This window comes from Homo sapiens, chromosome 9 (genome assembly GCF_000001405.40).
Source record: "Homo sapiens chromosome 9, GRCh38.p14 Primary Assembly".
Classification (NCBI taxonomy): domain Eukaryota; kingdom Metazoa; phylum Chordata; class Mammalia; order Primates; family Hominidae; genus Homo; species Homo sapiens.
Window position 1 is genome coordinate 35,896,989 of NC_000009.12, and position 21,724 is coordinate 35,918,712.

The following is a 21,724-nucleotide window of genomic DNA, read 5'->3' on the forward strand; positions in this document are numbered from 1 at the left end:
TTTGTATTTTTATTTTTAAATTTTAGAATCTAAATTTATTATTATTATTATTATTATTATTATTATTATTTAGAGATGGGATTTCACCATGTTGGCCAGGGTGGTCTTGAACTCCTGGAGTCAAATGATCTGCCTGCCTTAGCCTCCCAAAGTGCTGGGATTATGGGCATGAGCCACTGCTCCTGGTCAAAAATTTAAATTAAGTTTTATTTAAAAATTTGAATTTTTAAATTAACTCTTATTAGTGTTAATAGTTCTCCAGTATATTCTTTCAAGTTTTCCAGATATGTAGTCACATCATCTCTAATATTTCTACCTTTTATTATACATTGTTATTGTATTAAGCTAACTAAAAATGGTGGAAGTAAGCATTCTAGCTTGTTCCTGGTTTCAACAGGAATCTCAAAGTGCTGGGATTACAGGCCTATTTTTTTTCACCATTAATCATGATGTTGACTACTGGTTTGAGATATTTTTCCTTTTAATAATGTTAAAAGAGTATCCTCCTAATAGTACACTTTTTTTGTTTTACTCATTTGCAACACAGGAGTACCTTGGAGGTACTGCAGGTTCAGTTCCAAATCACTGCAATAAAGTGAGTCATACCAATTTTTTGGTTTCTCAGTGCATAAAAAATTATGCTTACACTATCCTATAGTCTATTATGTGTGCATTAGCATTATGTCTAAAAAGTACATATCTTAATTTAAAAATACATTATTGGCTGGGTGCAGTGGCTCATGCCTGTAATCCCAGCACTTTGAGAGGCTGAGGTGGGCAGATCATGAGGTAAGGAGTTTGAGACCAGCCTGGCCAACATAGTGAAACCCCATCTCTACTAAAAATACAACAACAACAAAAAATTAGCCGGATGTGGTGGCACGCACCTGTAGTCCCAGCTACTCCACAGGCTGAGGCAGGAGAATCGTTTGAACCTGGGAGGCAGAGGTTGCAGTGAGCCGAGACCACGCCATTGCACTCCAGCCTGGGCAACAAAGGGAGACTCCATCTCAAAAAAACAAATACCTTATTGCTAAAAAATGCTAATGATCACCTGAGCTTTCAGTGATTTGTAATATTTTCGCTGGTAGAGGACTTTGCCTTGACGTGGATGGCTGCTGACTGACCAAGGTGGTGGTTGCTGAAGGTTGAGGTGGCTGTGGCAATTTCTTAAAATAAGTTGTTAATAAATTTTGCCATGTTGATCAAGCCTTCCTTTCACAAAAGATTACTTTGCCCAGATTCATCAAAGGAATCACTATGTATAGCAGCTATAGCCTTACAAAATGCATTTCTTAAATAAGATGACTTGAAAATTGAAATTACTCCTTGATTCATAAGCTGCATTATGGAAGTTGTGTTAGCAGGCATGGAAACAACATTTATCTCCTTATACATCTCCATCAGAGCTCTTAAATGACCAGGTCCATTGTCAATGAGCAGTAATATTTGGAAAAGAATCTTCTTTTCTGAGTAGGAGGTGTCAACAGTGGGCTTAAAATATGCCATAAACCATGCTGTAAACAGATGTGCTGTCATCTGGGCTTTGTTTGTTCTTTTATAGAGCACAGGCATCTATAAATCTACAGAGTAGATTTAGCATAATTCTTAAGGGCCCTAGGATTTTGGGAATGGTAAATTAGCATTGGCTTCAACATAAAGTCATCAGCTGCAATAGCCCCTAACAAGAGAGTCAGCCTGTCCTTTGAAGCTCTGAAGCCAGACATTGACTTCTCTCTAGCTATGAAAGTCCTAGATGGCATCTTCTTCCAATAGAAGACTACTTCATCTACACTAAAAATCAGTTATTTAGTGTAGCCACCTTCATCAGGTATTTTAGGTGGACCTTCTAGATAACTTGCTGTAGCTTCAACGTCACAAAAGTCCAAGTGCTGCCTCTCCTTGTACTTTTATGTTATGAATTTGGCTTCTTTCCTTAAGCCTCTGCTAGCATCCAACTTTTCTTCTGCAGCTTCCTCGCCTCTCTCAGCCTCCATAGAATTAAAGAGGGTTAGGGTATTGCTCTGGATTAGGCTTTGGTTTCAGGGAATGTTGTGGCTGGTTGATCTTTTATCCAGACCACTCAAACTTTCTCCATATCAGCAATAAGGCTGTTTCGCTTTCTTGTCACTCATGTGTTCACTGGAGTAGGACTTTTAATTTCCTTCAGGAACTTTTCCTTTGCAATCACAAGTTGGCTAACTGCTTGGTGCAAGAGGCTTTGCTTTCAGCCTGTCTTGGCCTTCGATATGCCTTCCTCACTAAGGTTAATAATTTCTAGCTTTTGATTTAAAGTGAGAGATGTGACTCTTCCTTTCACTGAGCATTTAGAGGCCATTGTAGGATTATTAATTGGCTTTGTTTTGATATTGTTGTGTCTTAGGGAATAGGAAAACCCTAGGAGAGGAAGAGAGATGGAGGAAAGGCTAGTCAGTGAAGCAGCCAGAACACACACAACATTTATTGAATAATATTATATGGGCGCAGTTCATGGTGCCCCGAAACAATTACAGTAGTAACATCAAAGATCACTGATCACAGGTCACCATAACAGATGTAATAATAATGAAAACATTTGAAATATTGTGAGAATTACTAAAATGTTTGACACAGGGACATGAAGTGAGCACATGCTGTTGGAAAATAGTGTCGACAGACTTGCTCAAAGTGGGTTGCCACAAACCTTCAATTTGTTTTTGTTTATTTTTGAGACAGAGTCTCACTCTTGTCACCCAGGCTGGAGTGCAGTGGTGCAATCTCAGCTCACTGCTACCTCTACCTCCCGGGTTCAAGTAATTCTTGTGCCTCAGCTTCCTGAGTAGCTGGGATTACAGGTGCAAGCCACCATGCCTGGCTAATTTTTGTATTTTTAGTAGAGATGGGGTTGGCCTCACCATGTTGGACAGGCTGGTCTCAAACTCCTGTCCTCAAGTGATCCACTTGCCTCAGCCTCCCAAAATGCTGGGATTACAAGCATGAGTCACTGAGCCCAGCCCAAACCTTCAATATGTAAAAAGAAAAAAAAAAAAGCAATATCTGTGAAGCACAATAAAAATGAGGTATCCCTGTATTTATCAGGAATGCATAGTGAATTTTATTAAATACTTTTTGACATTTGTTGAGATGATTATATGGTTTTACTTTTTTAACATATTAATGTAATTAATTACAACATATTTTTAAAACATGAAACCACCCTCACATTCCTAGAATAAATTTATTTTATGGAGTATTCGTCTCCCAATGTTCTGGGATATAATATTAATTTGTTAGAATTCTGATATTTGGGACGGGCGCGGTGGCTCACGCCTGTAATCCCAGCACTTTGGGAGGCCAAGGCAGGCGGATCACGAGGTCAAGAGATCGAGACCGTCTTGGCTAACACAGTGAAACCCCGTCTCTACTAAAAATACAAAAAGTTAGCCAGGTGTGGTGGCACACGCCTGTAGTCCCAGCTACTCAGGATGCTGAGGCAGGAGAATCGCTTGAACCCGGGAGGTGGAGGTTGCAGTGAGCCGAGATTGCGTCACTGCACTCCAACCTGGGCGACACAGCGAGACTCCATCTCAAAAAAAAAAAAAAAAGAATTCTGAGATTTGTAGTGTTTTTGTGCTATGATTGTTAGGTTTGGTATCAGGGTTATGCTAGTTTTATAAAGTAAGTTATATGAATTTAAAAAATAAAAAAAGGTCTCTTTATTTTTTGAAACAGTTCAAACAGCTCCTGTTGTGGTTTGTAGGATTATTTTATTTACCCCTTTTGTTTTTTAAAAAAGTAGACTTTATTTTTTAGAGCAGTTTTAGGTTCACAGGAAATTTGAGTGGAGGCTACAGAGATTTCCCATATGAATCCCCCCTTCGCTATTATCAGCGTTCCACAACACAGAGGTACATTTGTTGTAATCTACTCTATGTTGACACATCATCACCCAAGGGCCATCGTTCACGTTAGGGTTCACTCTTGGTGTTGTACATTCTATGGATTTTGACAAATTTTGAAATAACACGTATCCACCATCATAGTGTTTTATAGAATAGTTTCACTGCCCTAAAAAATTCCCTGTGCTCTACCTCCTGCCTCCTTCCAGCCCCTGGCAACCACTGATCTTTCTACTATCTCCATAGTTTTGCCTTTTCCAGAATGTTAAATAGTCGGAATCACACATATGTAGCCTTTTCAGATTGGCTTCTTTCACTTAGCAATATGCATTTAAGTTTCCTCCATGTTCTTTCATGGCTTGAGAGTTCATTTCTTTTTAGTGCTAAATGATGTTCCATTGTCTGGTGTACCACAGTTTATTTATCCATTCACCTGCTGAAGGGCATTTCAGTTGCTTCCAAGTTTTGTCAATTATGAATAAAGTTGCTATAAACATGCTATAAGCATGCAGATTTTTGTGTGAACACAAGTTTTCAGCTAATTTGGGTAAATTCCAAGGAGTGTGATTGCTGGTAAACAGTCGGAATCAGTAAACAGCTGGTAGAGTGTGTTTAGTTTTATATGAAAATTCAAAGTGTTTTCCATGATGGTTGTACCATTTGGTTTCTCTTTATTGTTTTAAAGTTAAAATTTCACCTGGATATAACTAGATGATCTGGCCTCTTTAAATAGTTTCTTTAGCGGGGCGTGGTGGCTCACGCCTATAATCACAGCACTTTGGAGGCCAAGTTGGGAGGATTGCTTGAACCCAGGAGTTCAAGACCAGCCTGGACAACATGGCAAAACCCTGTCTCCACAAAAAATTTTTAAAAAATTAGCCGGCATGATGGGATCCGCCTGTAGTCTCAGCTACTTGAGAGGCTGAGGTTGGAGGATCACTTGAGCTCAGGAGGTCGAGGCTGCAGTGAGCCAACTGTGATTGTGCCACTGCACTGTAGCCTGGTTGACAGAATGAGACCCCGTCTCTAAATAGATAGATGGATAGATAGATAGATAGACAGATAGATAGATAGTTTGCTGAGTACTAAGTCACTTTTTGATCTAAAGAGTTAATTCTTCAAGTCAGGAAATTTTCTTTATATTTCTTTAATGATTGTTTCTCCACGGGCTCTATTCTCTATTTCTGGAATGCCTATTATATAGGTATATTTGATTTCTGGATCTTTCTTTTCTTTCTCTCTCTTTTAGCCTCTTTATTTATTTATTTATTTCTGAGTTATAGGGAAAGTTCTCAAAGCAATCTTTCCAGATTTGGTTTTTAATTGGAAAATAAATTTCCTGTTTTTGCATATTTTCCATATTCATATATGGGTTGACTTTTGGAATTCTATTTACAGTATAAATTACAGAATTTTACTGTTTTTGTTTCTTAGATTCTAGTAACCCTAATGATAAAGATATAATAACTTACATCTTTTTTCGTATGTCTAGAAATTATCATATATTTGCTCACTTTATGGAGGGACCTAGATCTACATTTGTTTGGAATTGAGATTTGAAATGGGTATTCTAAAAGATATGTAGATCATTTTCAAACGTGTTGGTTCCAGGCAATGGGAAAAGAAGAAACATGGAATATTTATAGTTTAGTTTTCTAGATTGGGAGATCCAATCGACCATGATTAGGGCAGGAAGAGCTTCTGAGAAGAGGAGAGAAGTTTGCTGTTCTGCTGCGCAACTTCTTCTCACTGTTTGTTGAGGCAGTTCAAGGTCGGCTGGAAGAATGTCCCCCCTTCTCTAACTGGCATGAGCACCTGGGTTAGAAACCTGCTGGCCAATGTCCTTGCTTTTCTGTGCAAACCAAAAGAGGAGCTGAGCCTTGGCCACCTTCTCTGCGAGCAGGCACTCGCAATTCCCAAGGTTGCTCAGTTTTTTTCCCGCTTATCCCCATCTCAGCCTTTTTCCTAGTCCTGGCTGTCTATTACGGGGCTTTAGGGAGACTCTCCTGGGGCGTATCCTCCATTATTTCCCAGGAATGTCCTTCTTTAGTCAATATACTCATCAGCCTGGTTCTATTTGCACTGTATCTTGTTGAAATTCCTTGAAGTTTATGGGCCAGTAATGTGATTTTTTTTACTGATTTCTAGAGTGGAATAGGATTTTTATCTCTTTGTCTGTTTCAATAGGAATTTGGAATAGGGAGGATTTAAATGCACGGGTCCAAATTATGATCTGTAAACAACCATCAGATACTGTAACTTTTGACAGGTCAGAATACAAAACTGATTTATTTACAGTGTCACCACTAGGTGGTGCCACCAATTAGTGAAAACAATGTGGTTGCTATGGCTGGACTTCCAAGAACCACCTGCAGCTACTACAAGCACATATTTGTGAGTTGTCTGGAACTTGTATTCACCTGTGCATATTTGCATGAGCGTGTGCACACACAGTTATTGGTGTATAAGTTTTCCCACAGAGCAATGTTGATTTACAAGCATGTGCATGAGTCTGTGTACCCTGGAAAGTATGGGCACGAAGCTAAATAATATGAGTTTCAAAAAGCTTACCCATCAGCTGTGTGGTCTAGAACTCCCATTCCTTGGCTAGGAAGTCCCAACCCTGAGGAAGAAATACAATGACAAGCTTTTCTGAAGCGGGGGATCCGGAAACACAGCCACAGTGTCCTTAAAGTTATCAGTCTTGCAAACCCTCATGTACAGTATACAGTCAAGCCTCCAAGAAGGTCTCTGTCACTTCTTTTTTTTTTTTTTTTTTTTTGAGACTGGGTCTTGCTGTGTTGCCCAGGCTGGAGCACAATGGTGTGATCTCAGTCCACTGCAGTCTCAACTTCCCAGGCTCAAGCAACCCTCCTGCCTCAGCCTCCTGAATAGCTGGGATTATAGACATGTGCCACCATGCTCAGCTAATCTTTTGTATTTTTTATAGAGGCAGGGTTTCGCCATGTTGCCCAGGCTGGTTTTGAACTCCTGGGCTCAAATGATCCACCCCTCTTAGCCTCCCAAAATGCTGTGATTACAGGCTACTGCACCTGGCTGTGTCACTTCTTAACATTTATGCCTAGTGTTCCATTATTGGAACACTAAGCATGTGGGAGTTATTTTTATCATACTGATCAAGGTCATTGCCAAGGTCTGATTGCAAAAATTCAAAAAATTGCAACCTTAGGCATAAATGGGTTAAGTCATGGAGGACTGTATTCTCAATGGCTGTCCCTCACTGCCCCCAGGAGTGCCCAAAGCATCTAAACAAATGTTCACTTTGGGATCCTACTACCCAGATGGAGAGTGAACCTGCACCTAAGGAAACAGATGTCGTGTGTATGTGTATGTGTGAGGGGGCACTCCCAACCCCTGCGCCCTCCAGGTTTATTCACATCTCCACCTCATCTTCCCGCTGTCTCTGTGGAAGGCCCTGCTGATCTCAGGCTGTCACTCTGGACGGCTCCCTCACTGCAGGGATGGTGCTCTGTTGAGTACCTGCTGTATAGATTAGCGCACGAGGCTGGGAGAACTTAGGCAAGTGTTTCCCTTCTCTGGCTTCAGTTTCTCCATCTGTCAGTGAAGGCTGAGTCTGGGTGATTCCAAGGGGCCGTTTGAGCTGACTGAAGTTCTTCAAGTTCATAGTTGTAAGGTCCTGCCCCGCCGCCAGCGGCTGGTGTGGGGTGGGAGTCTTCCTGGAGAAGTTCTGAGGACGAAAATCCCCTGTTTGCCTTCCTCCTCCTCCTCCTCACAACAGACTTCCCTCCTTAACTTCCCTAGGGAAGGCAGCCGGGCTCCCAGGGCCCCAGGAGTCTGCAGGAGGAGTTCTTACTCCAGCATCATTAAAAGTTCAAGTAGCTCCCCCAAGGGCCAAAGAAGTGCCAGGATTCATTAGACCTGCTGCCCCCTGAGCCCAGTTTGGTTGAAGGGAATGTTTAGCCTTTTCATCTGGTGAGGGTTTTCATTAAGGGTTTGAGGCCTCCCTAAGAGAACTCACCTCAGACTGAGGTCAGAGGGGGAAGGGTCCCTGGAGGTCACCTCTTGCTCCGGGAGTTCTGCAGAGGAGACAGGCTGGATCAGGGCAAGGGGTTTGCCCAACATCACAGGGTGGAGGTGCTGCCAGAACTCAGAGAACCAGCCTTGCGGTGTCTGCAGACATTCCTCCAGGCGGTAGGGAGATGAGCCTGGAGGGAGGGGCTGGGGACTCAGCCTGGAGGGACCCTGCAGAGCCAGACACAGAGCTGGGGCTTTGGGGAGCCCCACTGCATGTGAGGAAGAGCTTGGAGAACAGCCCAGCATGCCCACAGCAGAAAGGGTTGCCCAGAGAGAGAGTGAGCACCTGTTGCTGAGGTCTGTCAGCAGGATGGGACGGTGCCTCCCAGGAGGAACAGAGGGGATTTGGGCCTGGCGGGTGGGCTTGGAGGGACAGTCAGTACTGCTCAGATCCTGCCGCTCTGTAAATGCTCCACTAGGCAGGAATGGCACTCATCACTGCTGGGCAGGGAGGGTGTGACAGAGCAAGGAGCATGCCATTTATGGCCAGTTGAGACTGTTGAACTGGGAACCAGGAGGCTGGGCTGTGCCTGCCCTCTCTGAGCTCAGTGGCCTCCTTCTTGCCTCCCAGCAAGCTTGGGAGGACACCCAGACCCTCCTGCCTCCCAGAACAGGCCGGATGGAGGACCTCCCTGGATGGCAAAATCTGCCTGTGGTGCCTCCCTGAGCTTCTCAAGCTCATTGAGCTCGGGATGGCTCATCTGACAGAGCCTGACTCAGCCCCGGAGGGCTCTGCAGGCTGCAGGACAGGGAATCACAGACTCTCAGATGTCAGTGTCTCCTGAGCCATGGAGTCCATTGCAGTAATATCAGTTGCAAACATGACGGGAGCTGGTGTTGCTGCTTTACGCATCTCAACTCCTTTAGTCCTCGGAACACCCTACTGAGGAAGGAACCGTTATCAGCCATTTTACAGAAGAGGAAACAGGACAGAGAGGTTAAGTAACTTGTGCACAATCTCAGAGCAAGTGAGTGGCGTGGCTCCAAAGCCCGTGTTGTTCATCTCTGTTCTACACAGTCTCTACGAGAGGAGACTGAAGTGCGGAGAGGGAAGGTCACTGAGCCAGGCAGCAGGAGGGTTTCTTTCCTCTAGACTCAGGGCTCCTCCCTCAACCAGATCCAGCCTGACAGCTCCTCTGTCTCCACCTGGCCTCCCTGCCAGGCCTCCTCAGAGTTAACAGCGGCCTGGCCTCACCCTTGGCCAGCAGTTGCAAGTCCAAACAGGCTTCGCCCACATTCCCTGGCTGCTCTCCAGCCCGCAGCAGAGACAACAAAGTTCAGTGACTGAGAGGGCTGAGCGGAGGCTGCTGAAGGGGAGAAAGGAGTGAGGAGCTGCTGGGCAGAGAGGGACTGTCCGGCTCCCAGATGCTGGGCCTCCTGGGGAGCACAGCCCTCGTGGGATGGATCACAGGTGCTGCTGTGGCGGTCCTGCTGCTGCTGCTGCTGCTGGCCACCTGCCTTTTCCACGGACGGCAGGACTGTGACGTGGAGAGGAACCGTACAGCTGCAGGGGGAAACCGAGTCCGCCGGGCCCAGCCTTGGCCCTTCCGGCGGCGGGGCCACCTGGGAATCTTTCACCATCACCGTCATCCTGGCCACGTATCTCATGTGCCGAATGTGGGCCTCCACCACCACCACCACCCCCGCCACACCCCTCACCACCTCCACCACCACCACCACCCCCACCGCCACCATCCCCGCCACGCTCGCTGAGGCTGCTGTCGCCGGTGCCTGTGGACAGCAGCTGCCCCTGCCCTCCCATCTGTTCCCAGGACAAGTGGACCCCATGTTTCCATGTGGAAGGATGCATCTCTGGGGTGAACGAGGGGAACAATAGACTGGGGCTTGCTCCAGCTGCATTTGCATGGCATGCCCCAGTGTACTATGGCAGCAGAGAATGGAGGAACACTGGGTCTGCAGTGCTGAAGGGTTTGGGGAGTGGAGAGCAAGGGTGCTCTTTCGGGGCTGGACAGCCCGTCTTGTGACAGTGACTCCCAGTGAGCCCCAGAAATGACAAGCGTGTCTTGGCAGAGCCAGCACACAAGTGGATGTGAAGTGCCCGTCTTGACCTCCTCATCAGGCTGCTGCAGGCCTCTGGCGGGCAGGGCACTGGGAGAGGCCCTGAGAATGTCCTTTTGGTTTGGAGAAGGCAGTGTGAGGCTGCACAGTCAATTCATCGGTGCCTTAGTCCAAGAAAATAAAAACCACTAAGAAGCTTTTGTGAAGAGGCTCTTGATTGCAGCATAGTGGGAGGGAGGGAGCTGCCTGGCCTGTGTCCTCATTGCCCTGGGACCTCCCTCTCTGATGGGAAGCGTGTGGCTGGAGCAGGCGGCTTCTGTCTGGTTCTTAGGGGCTGGTTGTGGAGTGGGAAGAATTGGGTGGGCTCTGTCTGAGCTCTGAGGGAGGATTCAGGGTTTGCACAAAACCCTGCCCACAGCAGGTCCTGTGTGCACCAGCAGGGCTCTGGCCTTCCGCGGGACAGTCCTCGGGGAGAGGAAGGTTGGAGCCGCTGCGAGCCTGGCTCCCCAGGGCTCTGCCCCTGTACTTTTTTCAGCCCATGTCCAGGGCAGACTGAGCTCTGAAACTCGAGGAAGCCCCATCCACAGGCTGCCTTGAATCCAGTTTCCTTGGTAATTGGATCAGGGTTTCTTCTCCAAGCCTTGCGTTTTCAGCCATCCTGCCCCAGCTGGTGCCTGTGTGTGGTGGGAGGGCTGGGAGGCAGCGAGTGGAGTTCTTTAAAGTGGAGGCTGTGGTGCTGGGGTGCAGGGTGTTGGATGGCCTTGGGAGAATGCTGGGGTCTCACTTTCCTCTTCTCTGCAATGGGGTGGATAACAGAGATGCCCACGTGCCGAAGCCTGGAGGCTCGTTGGAATATGCTCTGTGAACAGCTAGTGGGATCCACAGCGAGGAAGGAAGCCTGGCTCTGAGGCCTTCAGCCTGTGCCTGTGAGCTGAGGTGGGAATTGGGGGAAGACAAGGACTGGGGGCCAGGAGAGGCAGTGGGGAGGGGCTGGAGAGCAGGCCAGAGACTCAGGGACCTGGTGACTCACTGGAATAGAATGTCCTCTTTCCTTTCTATTTCCCAGTGGATTCTCTGTGAGGGCTGCAGGAGGAGGGAGTGAGAGAGAGAGGGAGGCAAATTCACACTGATTTCTCCCACCTGAGGTTTCTGGGTTGGGAAAGTTGACCCTAGGCTGCCGTGCAGTGTCGATTTTCTCTGCAGTGTCCTTCAAATCCACCCCCTTCTCCATTCCCATGCCCTGCCTAGCCCAGCCCCCTCCATCCCCCTCCTGGATTCCTGCCAGCCTGCTCCCTGCAGCCCTGCCCCTTTCCCAGGCATCTCCAGGCTGATTTCACAGATGAATCAAAGATGGGGAGGAGGTTCCCCGAAAGCAGGAAACGGAAAAGGAAGCCTATGCAGGGCAGGAGAGAACCCGCTGAGCAATTGCCCTTTATTCCAGTTCAAAAATGCGGAACCACTCAGACAATCTGCAGGCGGCCTATGGCTGCGTGTACACAGGAAGAATAGGCGATGAGAAATCAAAGGAACAAATGTTAAAGCTTGAGGCATAGTCTCCTGGTGCCCTCTATCACCCCAGTTAAGGAGGTGATGTTGGTAACTCAACCTGAAACCACAGGCCCTGCAGATCAGCCCGTCGTCTCCTTCCTCCTGGTCATCCCAGTTAATACAAACAATCCAAGGAATTGGCTTCCTGTCATGGCCCACAGCCTGCTCCATGTGGAGGAGGAGCCCAGGGCCCAGATGGTCTCATCATCTCAGAAAAGGGACAGATTGAGAATATGACAGGCTATCGTTTGCTCTGAAAAGTTGCTCTCCCATTCTGTGCAAAGTGCCAGTTTCCTAATGCTGATACTAAAGAAAGTTCCCTTGGGCCTTGGAGAAACTGAAAAGGACCCAGGCTATGTGAACTTGGGCCAGCCCTCTGCCCTTTCTGGCACTTTGCACCCAGATCATTAAAACCGCAGAATCAGATGGTCGCTCTGTGGTCCCATGGTAACTGGAAAGTGCACTGAGCTAGGAGTGGAGGGAGGGCGGTCCCTCCTCGGCCATTGCTCGTGCCTGTTAACATGGCTAATTCAGAATGGGGGGCAGGTCATTTAACTTCTATGACCATAGGATCTTTTTCTATAAAATGGAGGCTATATCGCTATGCAGGGTTGCTGGGGAGGTTATATGAGATCATGTCTGGTGAGGTCCCATGCCTGGAGTTATTGTTCTCACTACTCTGTTTCCCAGAATATGGACAAAGTGGGGCTAATAGCCCAGTCTCCTTTCTGGAAGTGGTGGGGGTCTCAGGAGGTGCTGGGTGTGAAAGGGCTCTCACCTGGCAGACTAACTCAGTTGCCTGGGCCTAGCTTATTCCCCTGACCTCCTGGCAGGGAGGAGGGTGGAAAAGGCCTGGGGTGCGCATGGCGGGACGGGATAACTGCTGAGCGGGGGTTGGAGGGCTGCAGTGTGGGTCCTGGGCCCTCGCTCACAATTGGAGGAAAGAATTCAGGAAGTGCTCACAGCTGCTCAGACATCTCGGAGCCAAGTTCCAACCAGGACAGAGGCTGCAGCACCCAGGGAGGAACGCCGTGGTCCCTGGGACGGCCACCAGGCCAGGAGGCTGCAGCACCAGGTACAGCCAGGGCTGGCCTTTGGGGAGCCCAGGGTAAATCTTAATAGTTCAAGAATGTGAGCAACGGGCTAAGCAGGCAGCAAAGAGGGTGGGTGAGGCCGGCATCTAAGAAGGCTCTTCCGGGACCTCCGGGTAAAGAGCCCCACGGTCATGGACAGGGCAGGGATTCCCGGGGAAGCACCTGATACTCTATCTAAACTGCATGATCCCAGCGCCATGCAGAAAAGGACGCCAAATGCAACCTGCCCCTGCCTCCAGCCCCCACTAAAGGCCCTGGCACCTGGGGTGACCCGTGAGTGTCCCCTGCCTTGCCCAGAGCTGGCGCATGCCTTCCTCCCTCCTCATGTCCCTGCCCCCAGCACAGGGCCAGGGGCTGGGGAGGCAGCAGATAGGCCAATTGAAGGACTGGCCCAAGGTCCCTCCTGGGGAGGAGCCGGGCTCCTCCTGCATCCATAGTAGGGGGAGTATTTTGTCTTTGGTCTGGGCGTAACTTGCTCTTGAAATCTGTAGGCGTCACCGGAGGGCCAGCGCTGGCTAGGCTGTCTCTGTGCAACGTCTTCTGACCCCTCCTCTCCACCTTCTCTGTGTCCAGGGAATCTGTGCTCACGTCTTCCAGGACAGTGCTTCTTCTAGAAGCTGACATGGAGCTGACCACAGCTCTTGGAGGCATGGCCTGAGGCTTAGAAAATAGACAGAGATCATCTGAGATTTCAGCAGTGGGGCCACGTGGCAGCGCCCGAAGGCCTGGAGCAGGAGCGACCCAGGGACTCAGAGCAGCATCTTCTTAGGAGACGGAAGGAGAGCCGCCGGAGGAGCACGGGGCACCTGCGATCGCGAAGAGCCTCCTGTTCTGGATGGGAGCGAAGGCTCCGAGAGGACCTAAGGTTGCTCAGTGGGCCATGGAAACGGCAGTGATTGGGGTGGTGGTGGTGCTGTTCGTGGTGACTGTGGCCATCACCTGCGTCCTCTGCTGCTTCAGCTGTGACTCAAGGGCCCAGGATCCTCAGGGGGGTCCTGGCCGCAGCTTCACGGTGGCCACGTTTCGCCAGGAAGCTTCTCTCTTCACGGGGCCTGTTCGCCATGCCCAGCCAGTGCCAAGTGCCCAGGACTTCTGGACCTTCATGTGACGCCCGAGTCCCCAGGATTTGCTGTGCTGATGGGTCAGACTCACCCGCTCCTCAGCAAGCCTTCCCTGGCCTTCCCCTCCTCCCAGGGCCTTCTCCCTGTCCTTCCCCTCCAGTAACCTGTGAACTTCCCGTCTCCTCCCATTCCAGCCTTCTGTGCCCTCCAGCCTCAGGGATCCTTGTTATTGGGACAGCCCAGCTGGGGTTGACCCACAGGATGGGGCTTAGGAGAGCTCTGAGGAGTGAGTGAACAGACAGCGCCGGAGTGCACGGTGGGCCGGCTCTGCTGATCTACACCAGGAACTGAAATATCACTGGAATTTATTGTAAACGGTGTGCCTATGATGCTGGTTCTGTTGCCACCTGGGCACGCAGCACCCTCAAGTGGACATTTCTAGAAACCGCTTCTTACTTGCTCCTAATTGATTACTTTTGCACATTGCACAGAACCCAACCTCGAGGCCTGCTCCCTGCCAGTTGCCTGAAATCAGCCCTGAAATTCTGAAACCAAAGAGCTGCTTCCTGAGAACAAGTTATTTACCTTAGAATTGAAAATGTATATCCTTTTATGGGCCTTTCCAAATCTGATTAGAAAAACCACAAAAGGAAACAGAAGAGAAAATAAGAGCCACAGAAAGTACAATATGTTTTATTAACAGGAAAGCCAGAAATAAGATATTTTAAACATATTTTTAATGAGACTTTATTGCTATATTCCAACAGGTCACTCCTATTCTTAGAGAATGTGAATGACTTGTGTCACTTCGGAGTGACAGAAAAATCAGGAACTGAAAGATAATTCCAGACAAGTTAAAATGTTATGTTACATTCAAAGCTCTTGTTTTCATCACAAATAAGGGGATATTCAGTTTTTATTAACAGAAAACCCATTCTCCCATGGCCATGGAATAAATGCCATGCTATATTTAAGGAGTTTGGTTTGAAGGGTGCAAAATTGTGAGCCTCCTGGCTCTTATGTCTGTATCCAGCCCTGAATAGATGGCTCTCCCAGGACCTGTTTGTTGAGGGGGGCAGGACTGAGCTTTAGGGGGGCTCTGGCCTCTAAGGGTGTCCAGACAGGCTGCCCTTGCCATGTGGCTGCCATGGGAAGGGCTTTCAGAGTGGCTTGGAGCTGGAGAGGTGCACGCGGGGAGGGGGAAGTGGTGGGGAGAGTGAGGCTGACGGAGAGGGATGGGGAGGAGCATGGTGGGCGAGGCTCAGCCCAGGTCCAGGAGCTCCTGGGACCATGTCCTGGACACTCCTGACACCAGCCCTCGACGCAGGGCCTTCAGAGATGCACAGAGAAGGGAACGGCACATGTGGGGAGGCCCTGGAGACGGAGGGAAGAGAACTTTTGAGGGCTGTGTTCTCTAAAAGCGAACAGTGAGACAAAGTTCGGGTGCAAGATATTTGTCAGGGATCAACACCTACAAAGGGGAGAAGGAAGAAGCAGGATTGGGCAGAGGAAGAAGTCAAACCGTGATGCAGGTCCTTCATATCCCCACCTTTGCTCCGTCTCTGAGTCCCTCTCCCCTCTCCCAGGGTCTGACCTCAGCCAGGGCAGCTCTCTGCAGCTGAGGCAGGTCTTGAAGCCCTTCCTATTTTATTATTTTTATTTTATTTTATTTTATTTTATTTTATTTTAGGAGATGGGATCTCACTCTGCCACCTGGGCCAGAGTGCAGTCGTGTGATCATAGGTCACTGCAGCCTCAAATTCCAGGGCTCAGTCAATCCTCCCACCTCCGCCTCCTGAGTGGCTGGGACTATAGGTGCATGCCACCGTGCCTAGCTAATTAAAAAATCCTTTTCTTGTAGAGATGGGATTTCACTATGTTTCCAAACCTGGTCTTGAACTCTCCTGGCCTCAAGTGATCCTCCCACCTTGGCCTCCCAAAATGTTGGGATTACAGGTGTGAGCCATTGCATTTGGCTGAAGTCCTTCCTTTGAAGGGGACCTGGGCAGCACATCTCCACAGAAACTCTGTAGGGTCCTGTTCTTGGAAGAGCCTAGACTGGTCAGAGGTGGGTGAATATGTCCAGACACAAAGAAAAACCTGGGCACAGGAGATCTATGAGAGGAGAGACGGCCGTGCAGGATCTGGAAGGGAGAAGAGTGGGCCTCAGTCTCCCTCTCTCCTCAGCCAGAGTCAGCTCTGCTCCAGCTCAGGCACCCTTCACCAGGAGCCAGGCCCAGGGCTCTGCTCTTGTACTGTGTGGTCACAGCACTCACTAGGTCAGTCCGGGAGGGTCTGCAGGCTGGAATCACAGGGCCGTGAAAACAAAGTGCTGGTGAAGCGGGCATGGGGAGGGAGCCTGGCCTCCCTCTGCAGGAGACAGGCTGTCTGCCAAGCCCGGCACGCTCTTCATTTGTTCACCTGCCCATCTGCCCATCCATCCACCCACCCATCCATCTACTCCTGGAGTAGATGCCGCCTCACTTACCCATGCATTCATTCACTTATTCATTCACTCCTCCGTTCAGTAAACACTGACTGGGCACTGACTGTGTACCCAGCCCGGCCAAGGGAACGTGGGGGTCAACTGGACATTTGGATCCCGTGGACTCCTAGATAAGGCTGTATGTGTGTGGTGTGTTTTATGTGGGTATGATGAGTATGTGGTGTGTGTGTAAGCTGTATATGTGTAGTGAGTGTGTGTGGTGTGTGTTTTTGTATTCTGTGATGTGTGTGTAAGCTGTATGTGTGTAGTGAGTGTGTGTGTTTTTGTTTGCTGTGGTGTGTGTGTAAGCTGTATGTGTGTAGTGAGTGTGTGTGTTTTTGTTTGCTGTGATGTGTGTGTAAGCTGTATGTGTGTAGTGAGTGTGTGTGTTTTTGTTTGCTGTGGTGTGTGTGTAAGCTGTATGTGTGTAGTGAGTGTGTGTGTTTTTGTTTGCTGTGGTGTGTGTGTAAGCTGTATGTGTGTAGTGTGTATTTTTTTATGCTGTGGTGTGTGTGTAAGCTGTATGTGTGTAGTGTGTGTGTTTTTGTATGCTGTAGTGTGTGTGTAAGTTGTATGTGTGTAGTGAGTGTGTGTGTTTTTGTTTGCTGTGGTGTGTGTGTAAGCTGTATGTGTGTAGTGTGTGTGTTTTTGTATGCTGTGGTGTGTGTGTAAGCTGTATGTGTGTAGTGTGTGTGTTTTTGTATGCTGTAGTGTGTGTGTAAGTTGTATGTGTGTAGTGTGTGTGTTTTTGTATGCTGTGGTGTGTGTGTAAGCTGTATGTGTGTAGTGTGTGTGTTTTTGTATGCTGTGGTGTGTGTGTAAGCTGTATGTGTGTAGTGTGTGTGTTTTTGTATGCTGTAGTGTGTGTGTAAGTTGTATGTGTGTAGTGAGTGTGTGTGTTTTTGTTTGCTGTGGTGTGTGTGTAAGTTGTATGTGTGTAGTGAGTGTGTGTTTTTGTATGCTGTAGTGTGTGTGTAAGCTGTATGTGTGTAGTGAGTGTGTGTGTTTTTGTATGCTGTAGTGTGTGTGTAAGCTGTATGTGTGTAGTGAGTGTGTGTGTTTTTGTTTGCTGTGGTGTGTGTGTAAGTTGTATGTGTGTGGTGAGTGTGTGTGTTTTTGTATGCTGTGGTGTGTGTGTAAGTTGTATGTGTGTAGTGTGTGTTTTTGTATTCTGTGATGTGTGTGTAAGCTGTATGTGTGTAGTGAGTGTGTGTGTTTTTGTATGCTGTGGTGTGTGTGTAAGTTGTATGTGTGTAGTGAGTGTGTGTGTTTTTGTATGCTGTAGTGTGTGTTGGCCCCAGGTACCCCTGCCATTCTCCGCAGTGTAGCCTGCTGTATAAGAAGCAGGAGGGGCCCAGCAACAGGGCAGCGGAAGCCTCTTGCTATGACGGTGGCCTCTTCCTATTGTCCCCAAGGGCAGGAGGTGGCTGTGCAGGGACAAGACTGAGGCTGGCGCCAACATGCAGCAAAGCCGGGAGTGCTTATCTGGTGGTAGTGAGGGAAGCGGCTGTGCAAGGTCACCCTGGAATCTGGGGTGGAGCCACACTCAGGCCTCCCAGCTTCCAAACCGAGCATTCTCAATTCTACTTCTCTTGCTGGTTCCATTTACTTGCCTTTTTTTTTTTTGGAGACGGAGTCTTGCTCTGTCGTCCAGGCTAGAGTGCAGTGGCATGATCTTGGCTCACTACAAGCTCTGCCCCTGGGGTTCATGCCATTCTCCTGCCTCAGCTCCACAGGAGCCCGCCACCATGCCCTGCTAATTTTTTTGTATTTTTAGTAGAGACGGGGTTTCACCGTGTTAGCCGGGATGGTCTCCATCTCCTGACCTCGTGATCGCCTGCTTCAGCCTCCCAAAGTGCTGGGATTACAGGCGTGAGCTACCGCGCCCAGCCCATTTACTGGACTTTTATGACACACCAGGCACATTGTGCTTCCTCTGTGTCCTCTCATGAGTGTATACAGCAACTCCATCACCTCCATTTTACAGATGAGGGAACCGAGCCCCCATGCTTTGAGCCACTTTGGGCAAATACCAAATCTGCAGAACAGTGCTAAGTAGTCATTTTCCTCCATAAGTGATATCTGCATCCAGCCAATTCTCAGGGACACAGTTCATATCTTCAGGAGGAAGGGAGCCAGGGGATCTGATTTGCTCCAGGTTCACCTGAGCAAAAGCCTTGCTGGCACCTACCCATCTGCACCTTTTTTTTTTTTTTTTTTTTTTGAGGCAGAGTCTGGATCTGTCGCCCAGGCTGGAATGCAATGGCACGATCTCATCTCACTGCAACGTCCGCCTCCTGGGTTCAAGCAATTCTCATGCCTCAGCCTCCCGAGTAGCTGGGATTAAAGGTGCACACGACCACCCCTGGCTAATTTTTGTAGTTTTTGCAGAGATGGGGTTTCACCACGTTGGCCAGGCTGGTGTCAAACTCCTGGCCTGAAGTGATCCACTGGCCTCGGCCTCCCAAAATGCTGGGATTACAGGTGTGAGCCACCACTCCCGGCCCCATCTGCATCTTTGACTTGAAGAAGAAGCAGGTCTTTGCCCTGTACAGTTTTAATTGACAGTCCAGGAAGCCTCCCTCATAGAGTAAACTTCTGTGGACGGCTGGAATTAAGGGTTAACAGACATCAGTCCTGACCCAGCCTGCTTAAGGCCTTCCTAAGGCTTTGCACCTGCAGAGATACAGGCCGTGCCTCTCTGAGCAATGAGTCTTGCTTCTCCTTCACTTCCTGGGGCTTCTCTCAGCTCCACATGGGGCAAAGAGCAGGGAGAACCCTGCTCAGTTCTGTCTAGCCCGACTGGGACGTGGAAAGGCTAATCCGAGCCCCACTTCTGCCACTCAGTTGCTGGGCCTCAGTTTCCCTGGCTGTACGGAGAAGGTAAGAATCCCATCCCGGCTTGTCTAGAGGACGTGTTAGAGTGAAGATCCTGGGAACCCAGCTGTCAGGAACGGTCAAGGGAAAGAGGCCCGCCCCGCTCTGCCTGCCCTCCTCCCCACCACCTCCAACCCTCGCCCTGCTCTTTCTCCGCATTCCTGGACCTGAAACCAGGGTGGCGTTTCTCGCTGGGACAGGCTGGATTCTGGAATCTAGGAGGCCTTGAAATAACATGTTTTCCGGAAAAGTACCTTCCTTAAAGGAAACTGCTTGTTCCAGGGAGTAGAAAAGGATCATTGTACCTTGCCAGGTCCCCATTCCCCTGAGGACATGACATTTGAAAAGGCAGACTCAGTTGGAGACAGAGACCTGCACCCCCTGCCCTGTGCCTCCATCCAGCATATTCGTAATAGTGAAAAGTTAGAAACCACCTCGACACCAGCAGGAGGGGGCTGGGCTGGCAAATTGCAACACAGCCACAGAATCAAATGCTAGGCAGGTGTTAACGACAATGAGGTAAATTTAAACTCATTAACCTGAAAGGGCATTTATCATGTGTTGGTAAATTAAAAGGGAATTAGAGGACTATAAATGTAGCTGCACCCTTAGACGCATAGAAGACGATGTGGAGAGCTGTATGCCGAGGTGTTGATAGGCCATTGTCTCTGGGTGGGTGGGACTGTTTGTGCATTTTATTTTTTATTTACTTACTTTTTTTTTTTTTTGAGATAGAACTTTGCTCTCTTTGCCCAGGCTGGAGTGCAGTGGCACGATCTCGGCTCACTGCATCCTCTGCCTCCTGGGTTCAAGTGATTCTCCTGCCTCAGCCTCCCAAGTAGCTGGGACTACAGGCAGGCGCTACCACACTTGGCTAATTTTGTATTTTTAGTAGAGACAGGGTTTAACCATGTTGGCCAGGCTGGTCTTGAACTCCTGACCTCAGGTGATCTGCCCACCTCGGCCTCCCAAAGTGCTGAGATTACAGGCGTGAGCCACTGCGCCTTGCCTATTTGTGCATTTTAAATGTTTTCCCTTTGTGTTTATCTGAATTTCTCATAATGAATGATTTGCTCTTGAATAAGAAAGAGCAAGAACCTAACAAAGGAACAAAAGTTATTTTAAAAATTATAAAACAAACCAACTCCAATCTAAGAGATACAAAAACACAGTCAGGCATAGACACAAAAATGGGGGCAGATGAATTTCTCAGAACAGATACAATGATAAGGACACACACACACATACACACAGACACACACCTCTCTTCTGCCTAATTCACATGGCTGAGGTAGGCAAGGCTGGGGAGTTGCAAGCGGTAGGGGTTTGCCAAGTTTCCAGGAACACCGGAGTCTGGGTGTTGGGGTGGCTGCTGGAGCTTCTGGGCAGGTTGGGTGGGCTGAGGAGAGTACAGGGAGCAGCCTGGGGCTCACTAGCCTGAGTGAGAGGCCTGGCTGTACGACACCCAGCCTGCACCTCCTGGGACAGGGTAAGGCTCCTAATCCCAGCTCCCCAGTTCAGGCAAGACTGAGGAGCCTGCCAAAGCAACTCTTCCCCATCCCAGCAGTGGAGGGAGACAGCAGGGTCCACAGCTGGGGAGGAGCTTCCTGGCAACCACCTACGACTTCCAGGCTGAGGCCTTGTCAGCTGCCTACGGACCCCACTTAGGAAGCCAGGGCTGTGGTGGCTCATACAGGGACCCTCTGTCCTTGTCCTCCTGAGATACAGGCACAGCCACAGCCCTGGTGTGGGGCCTGGCCTGAGGCAAGGGGTGGATGCATGTCCTCCATCATCCCCACTGTCACTGTGCTTGCGCAGACCTCACCATGTCATCTCCTTATGGGCCTCCCTGGCCTCACCTCACCCCTGCCCACCCGGCCGCCAGAGAGCTCTTTCTTGGACACAGACCTAACTCCTTAGAGGGCTATTGGGTGGGTCTCTGTTCCCACCTTCAGAGTTCGCTATCTGTGGTAGGCATAATAATCATCCCTCAAAGATGTCCATGTCCTAATCCCTAGAAGCTGAGAAAATGTTATGTTCACCAAGGGGAATTAAGATTGCAGATGAAATCACAGTTGCTAATCGGTAGACCTTAAATAAGATTATCCCAGATTATCTGGGCAGGCCCAATGCAGTAAGAAATGTCCCTTCACTGTGGAGGAGGAGGGCAGAGGAGTCAGGGCAGGTGATGTAAGAAAGACCTGAAGACAGAAGCAGGCCACCAGCCAAGGAGTGTGAGAGTCTCTAGAAACCAGAAAGGAAAAGACAAGGAAAAGCATTCTCCCCAGTTGCCTCCAGATGGGAACATAGCCCTGCCAACATCTTTTTTTTTTTTTTTTTTTGAGACTGAGTCTCGCTCTGTCGCCCGGGCTGGAGTGCAGTGGTGCGATCTCGGCTCACTGCAAGCTCCGCCTCCCAGGTTCACGCCATTCTCCTGCCTCAACCTCCCCGCCCGGCTAGTTTTTTGTATTTTTAGTAGAGATGGGGTTTCACTGTGTTAGCCAGGATAGTCTCGATCTCCTGACCTTGTGATCCGCCCGTCTCAGCCTCCCAAAGTGCTGGGATTACAGGCGTGAGCCACCGCGCCCGGCCTGCCCTGCCAACATTTTGATTTTAGCCTAGTGAGTCCTATTTTGGTCTCTGATCTCCAGAACTATAAGATAATACATTTGTGTTGTTTTAAGCCACTATATTTATGCTAAGTTG

The 21,724-nt window shown here is 48.9% G+C and overlaps 2 protein-coding genes and 1 long non-coding RNA gene across 4 annotated transcripts, besides 4 other annotated features; 2 read left to right on the forward strand and 1 right to left on the reverse strand.

The window, feature by feature from the left end:
• Nucleotides 1–2,281: 2,281 nt before the first annotated feature.
• Nucleotides 2,282–8,682, reverse strand: LOC124902149 (uncharacterized). Of its 2 annotated transcripts, XR_007061472.1 has the most exons (4): nucleotides 7,879–8,181; nucleotides 7,380–7,587; nucleotides 6,450–6,501; nucleotides 2,282–2,397 (listed from the first exon to the last, which is right to left on the reverse strand). It is a non-coding gene; the product is annotated as an uncharacterized LOC124902149 (long non-coding RNA). The 2 variants fall into 2 exon arrangements; XR_007061471.1 differs by having other exon boundaries at nucleotides 7,380–8,682.
• Nucleotides 7,880–8,761: an enhancer, noted in NCBI's record as "H3K27ac-H3K4me1 hESC enhancer chr9:35904865-35905746 (GRCh37/hg19 assembly coordinates)". NCBI's record gives its function as "activates a minimal SCP1, AML or CMV promoter by ChIP-STARR-seq in naive H9 embryonic stem cells {active_cell/tissue: H9 hESC(naive)}" and the evidence as "EXISTENCE:reporter gene assay evidence [ECO:0000049][PMID:30033119]".
• Nucleotides 9,214–10,148, forward strand: HRCT1 (histidine rich carboxyl terminus 1). The gene has a single exon (NM_001039792.2). It carries the CDS (start codon nucleotides 9,300–9,302, stop codon nucleotides 9,645–9,647), a length of 348 nt encoding a protein of 115 aa, NP_001034881.1. The 5' UTR covers nucleotides 9,214–9,299; the 3' UTR covers nucleotides 9,648–10,148.
• A 2,353-nt stretch (nucleotides 10,149–12,501) lies between these two features.
• SPAAR (small regulatory polypeptide of amino acid response) lies at nucleotides 12,502–14,698 on the forward strand. Its single transcript, NM_001348107.3, has 2 exons — nucleotides 12,502–12,576; nucleotides 13,169–14,698. Exon 2 carries the CDS (start codon nucleotides 13,476–13,478, stop codon nucleotides 13,701–13,703), a length of 228 nt encoding a protein of 75 aa, NP_001335036.2. The 5' UTR covers nucleotides 12,502–12,576; nucleotides 13,169–13,475; the 3' UTR covers nucleotides 13,704–14,698.
• Nucleotides 13,174–14,054: an enhancer, noted in NCBI's record as "H3K4me1 hESC enhancer chr9:35910159-35911039 (GRCh37/hg19 assembly coordinates)". NCBI's record gives its function as "activates a minimal SCP1, AML or CMV promoter by ChIP-STARR-seq in naive H9 embryonic stem cells {active_cell/tissue: H9 hESC(naive)}" and the evidence as "EXISTENCE:reporter gene assay evidence [ECO:0000049][PMID:30033119]".
• Nucleotides 14,058–14,137: a silencer, noted in NCBI's record as "silent region_19884". NCBI's record gives its function as "represses an Ori minimal core promoter by ATAC-STARR-seq in GM12878 lymphoblastoid cells {active_cell/tissue: GM12878}" and the evidence as "EXISTENCE:reporter gene assay evidence [ECO:0000049][PMID:35858748]".
• Nucleotides 20,540–20,681: a silencer, noted in NCBI's record as "fragment chr9:35917525-35917666 (GRCh37/hg19 assembly coordinates)". NCBI's record gives its function as "represses an EF-1alpha promoter that drives an FKBP-Casp9 reporter gene in an ReSE screen in phorbol 12-myristate 13-acetate-treated (for megakaryocytic differentiation) K562 erythroleukemia cells {active_cell/tissue: K562(+PMA)}" and the evidence as "EXISTENCE:reporter gene assay evidence [ECO:0000049][PMID:32094911]".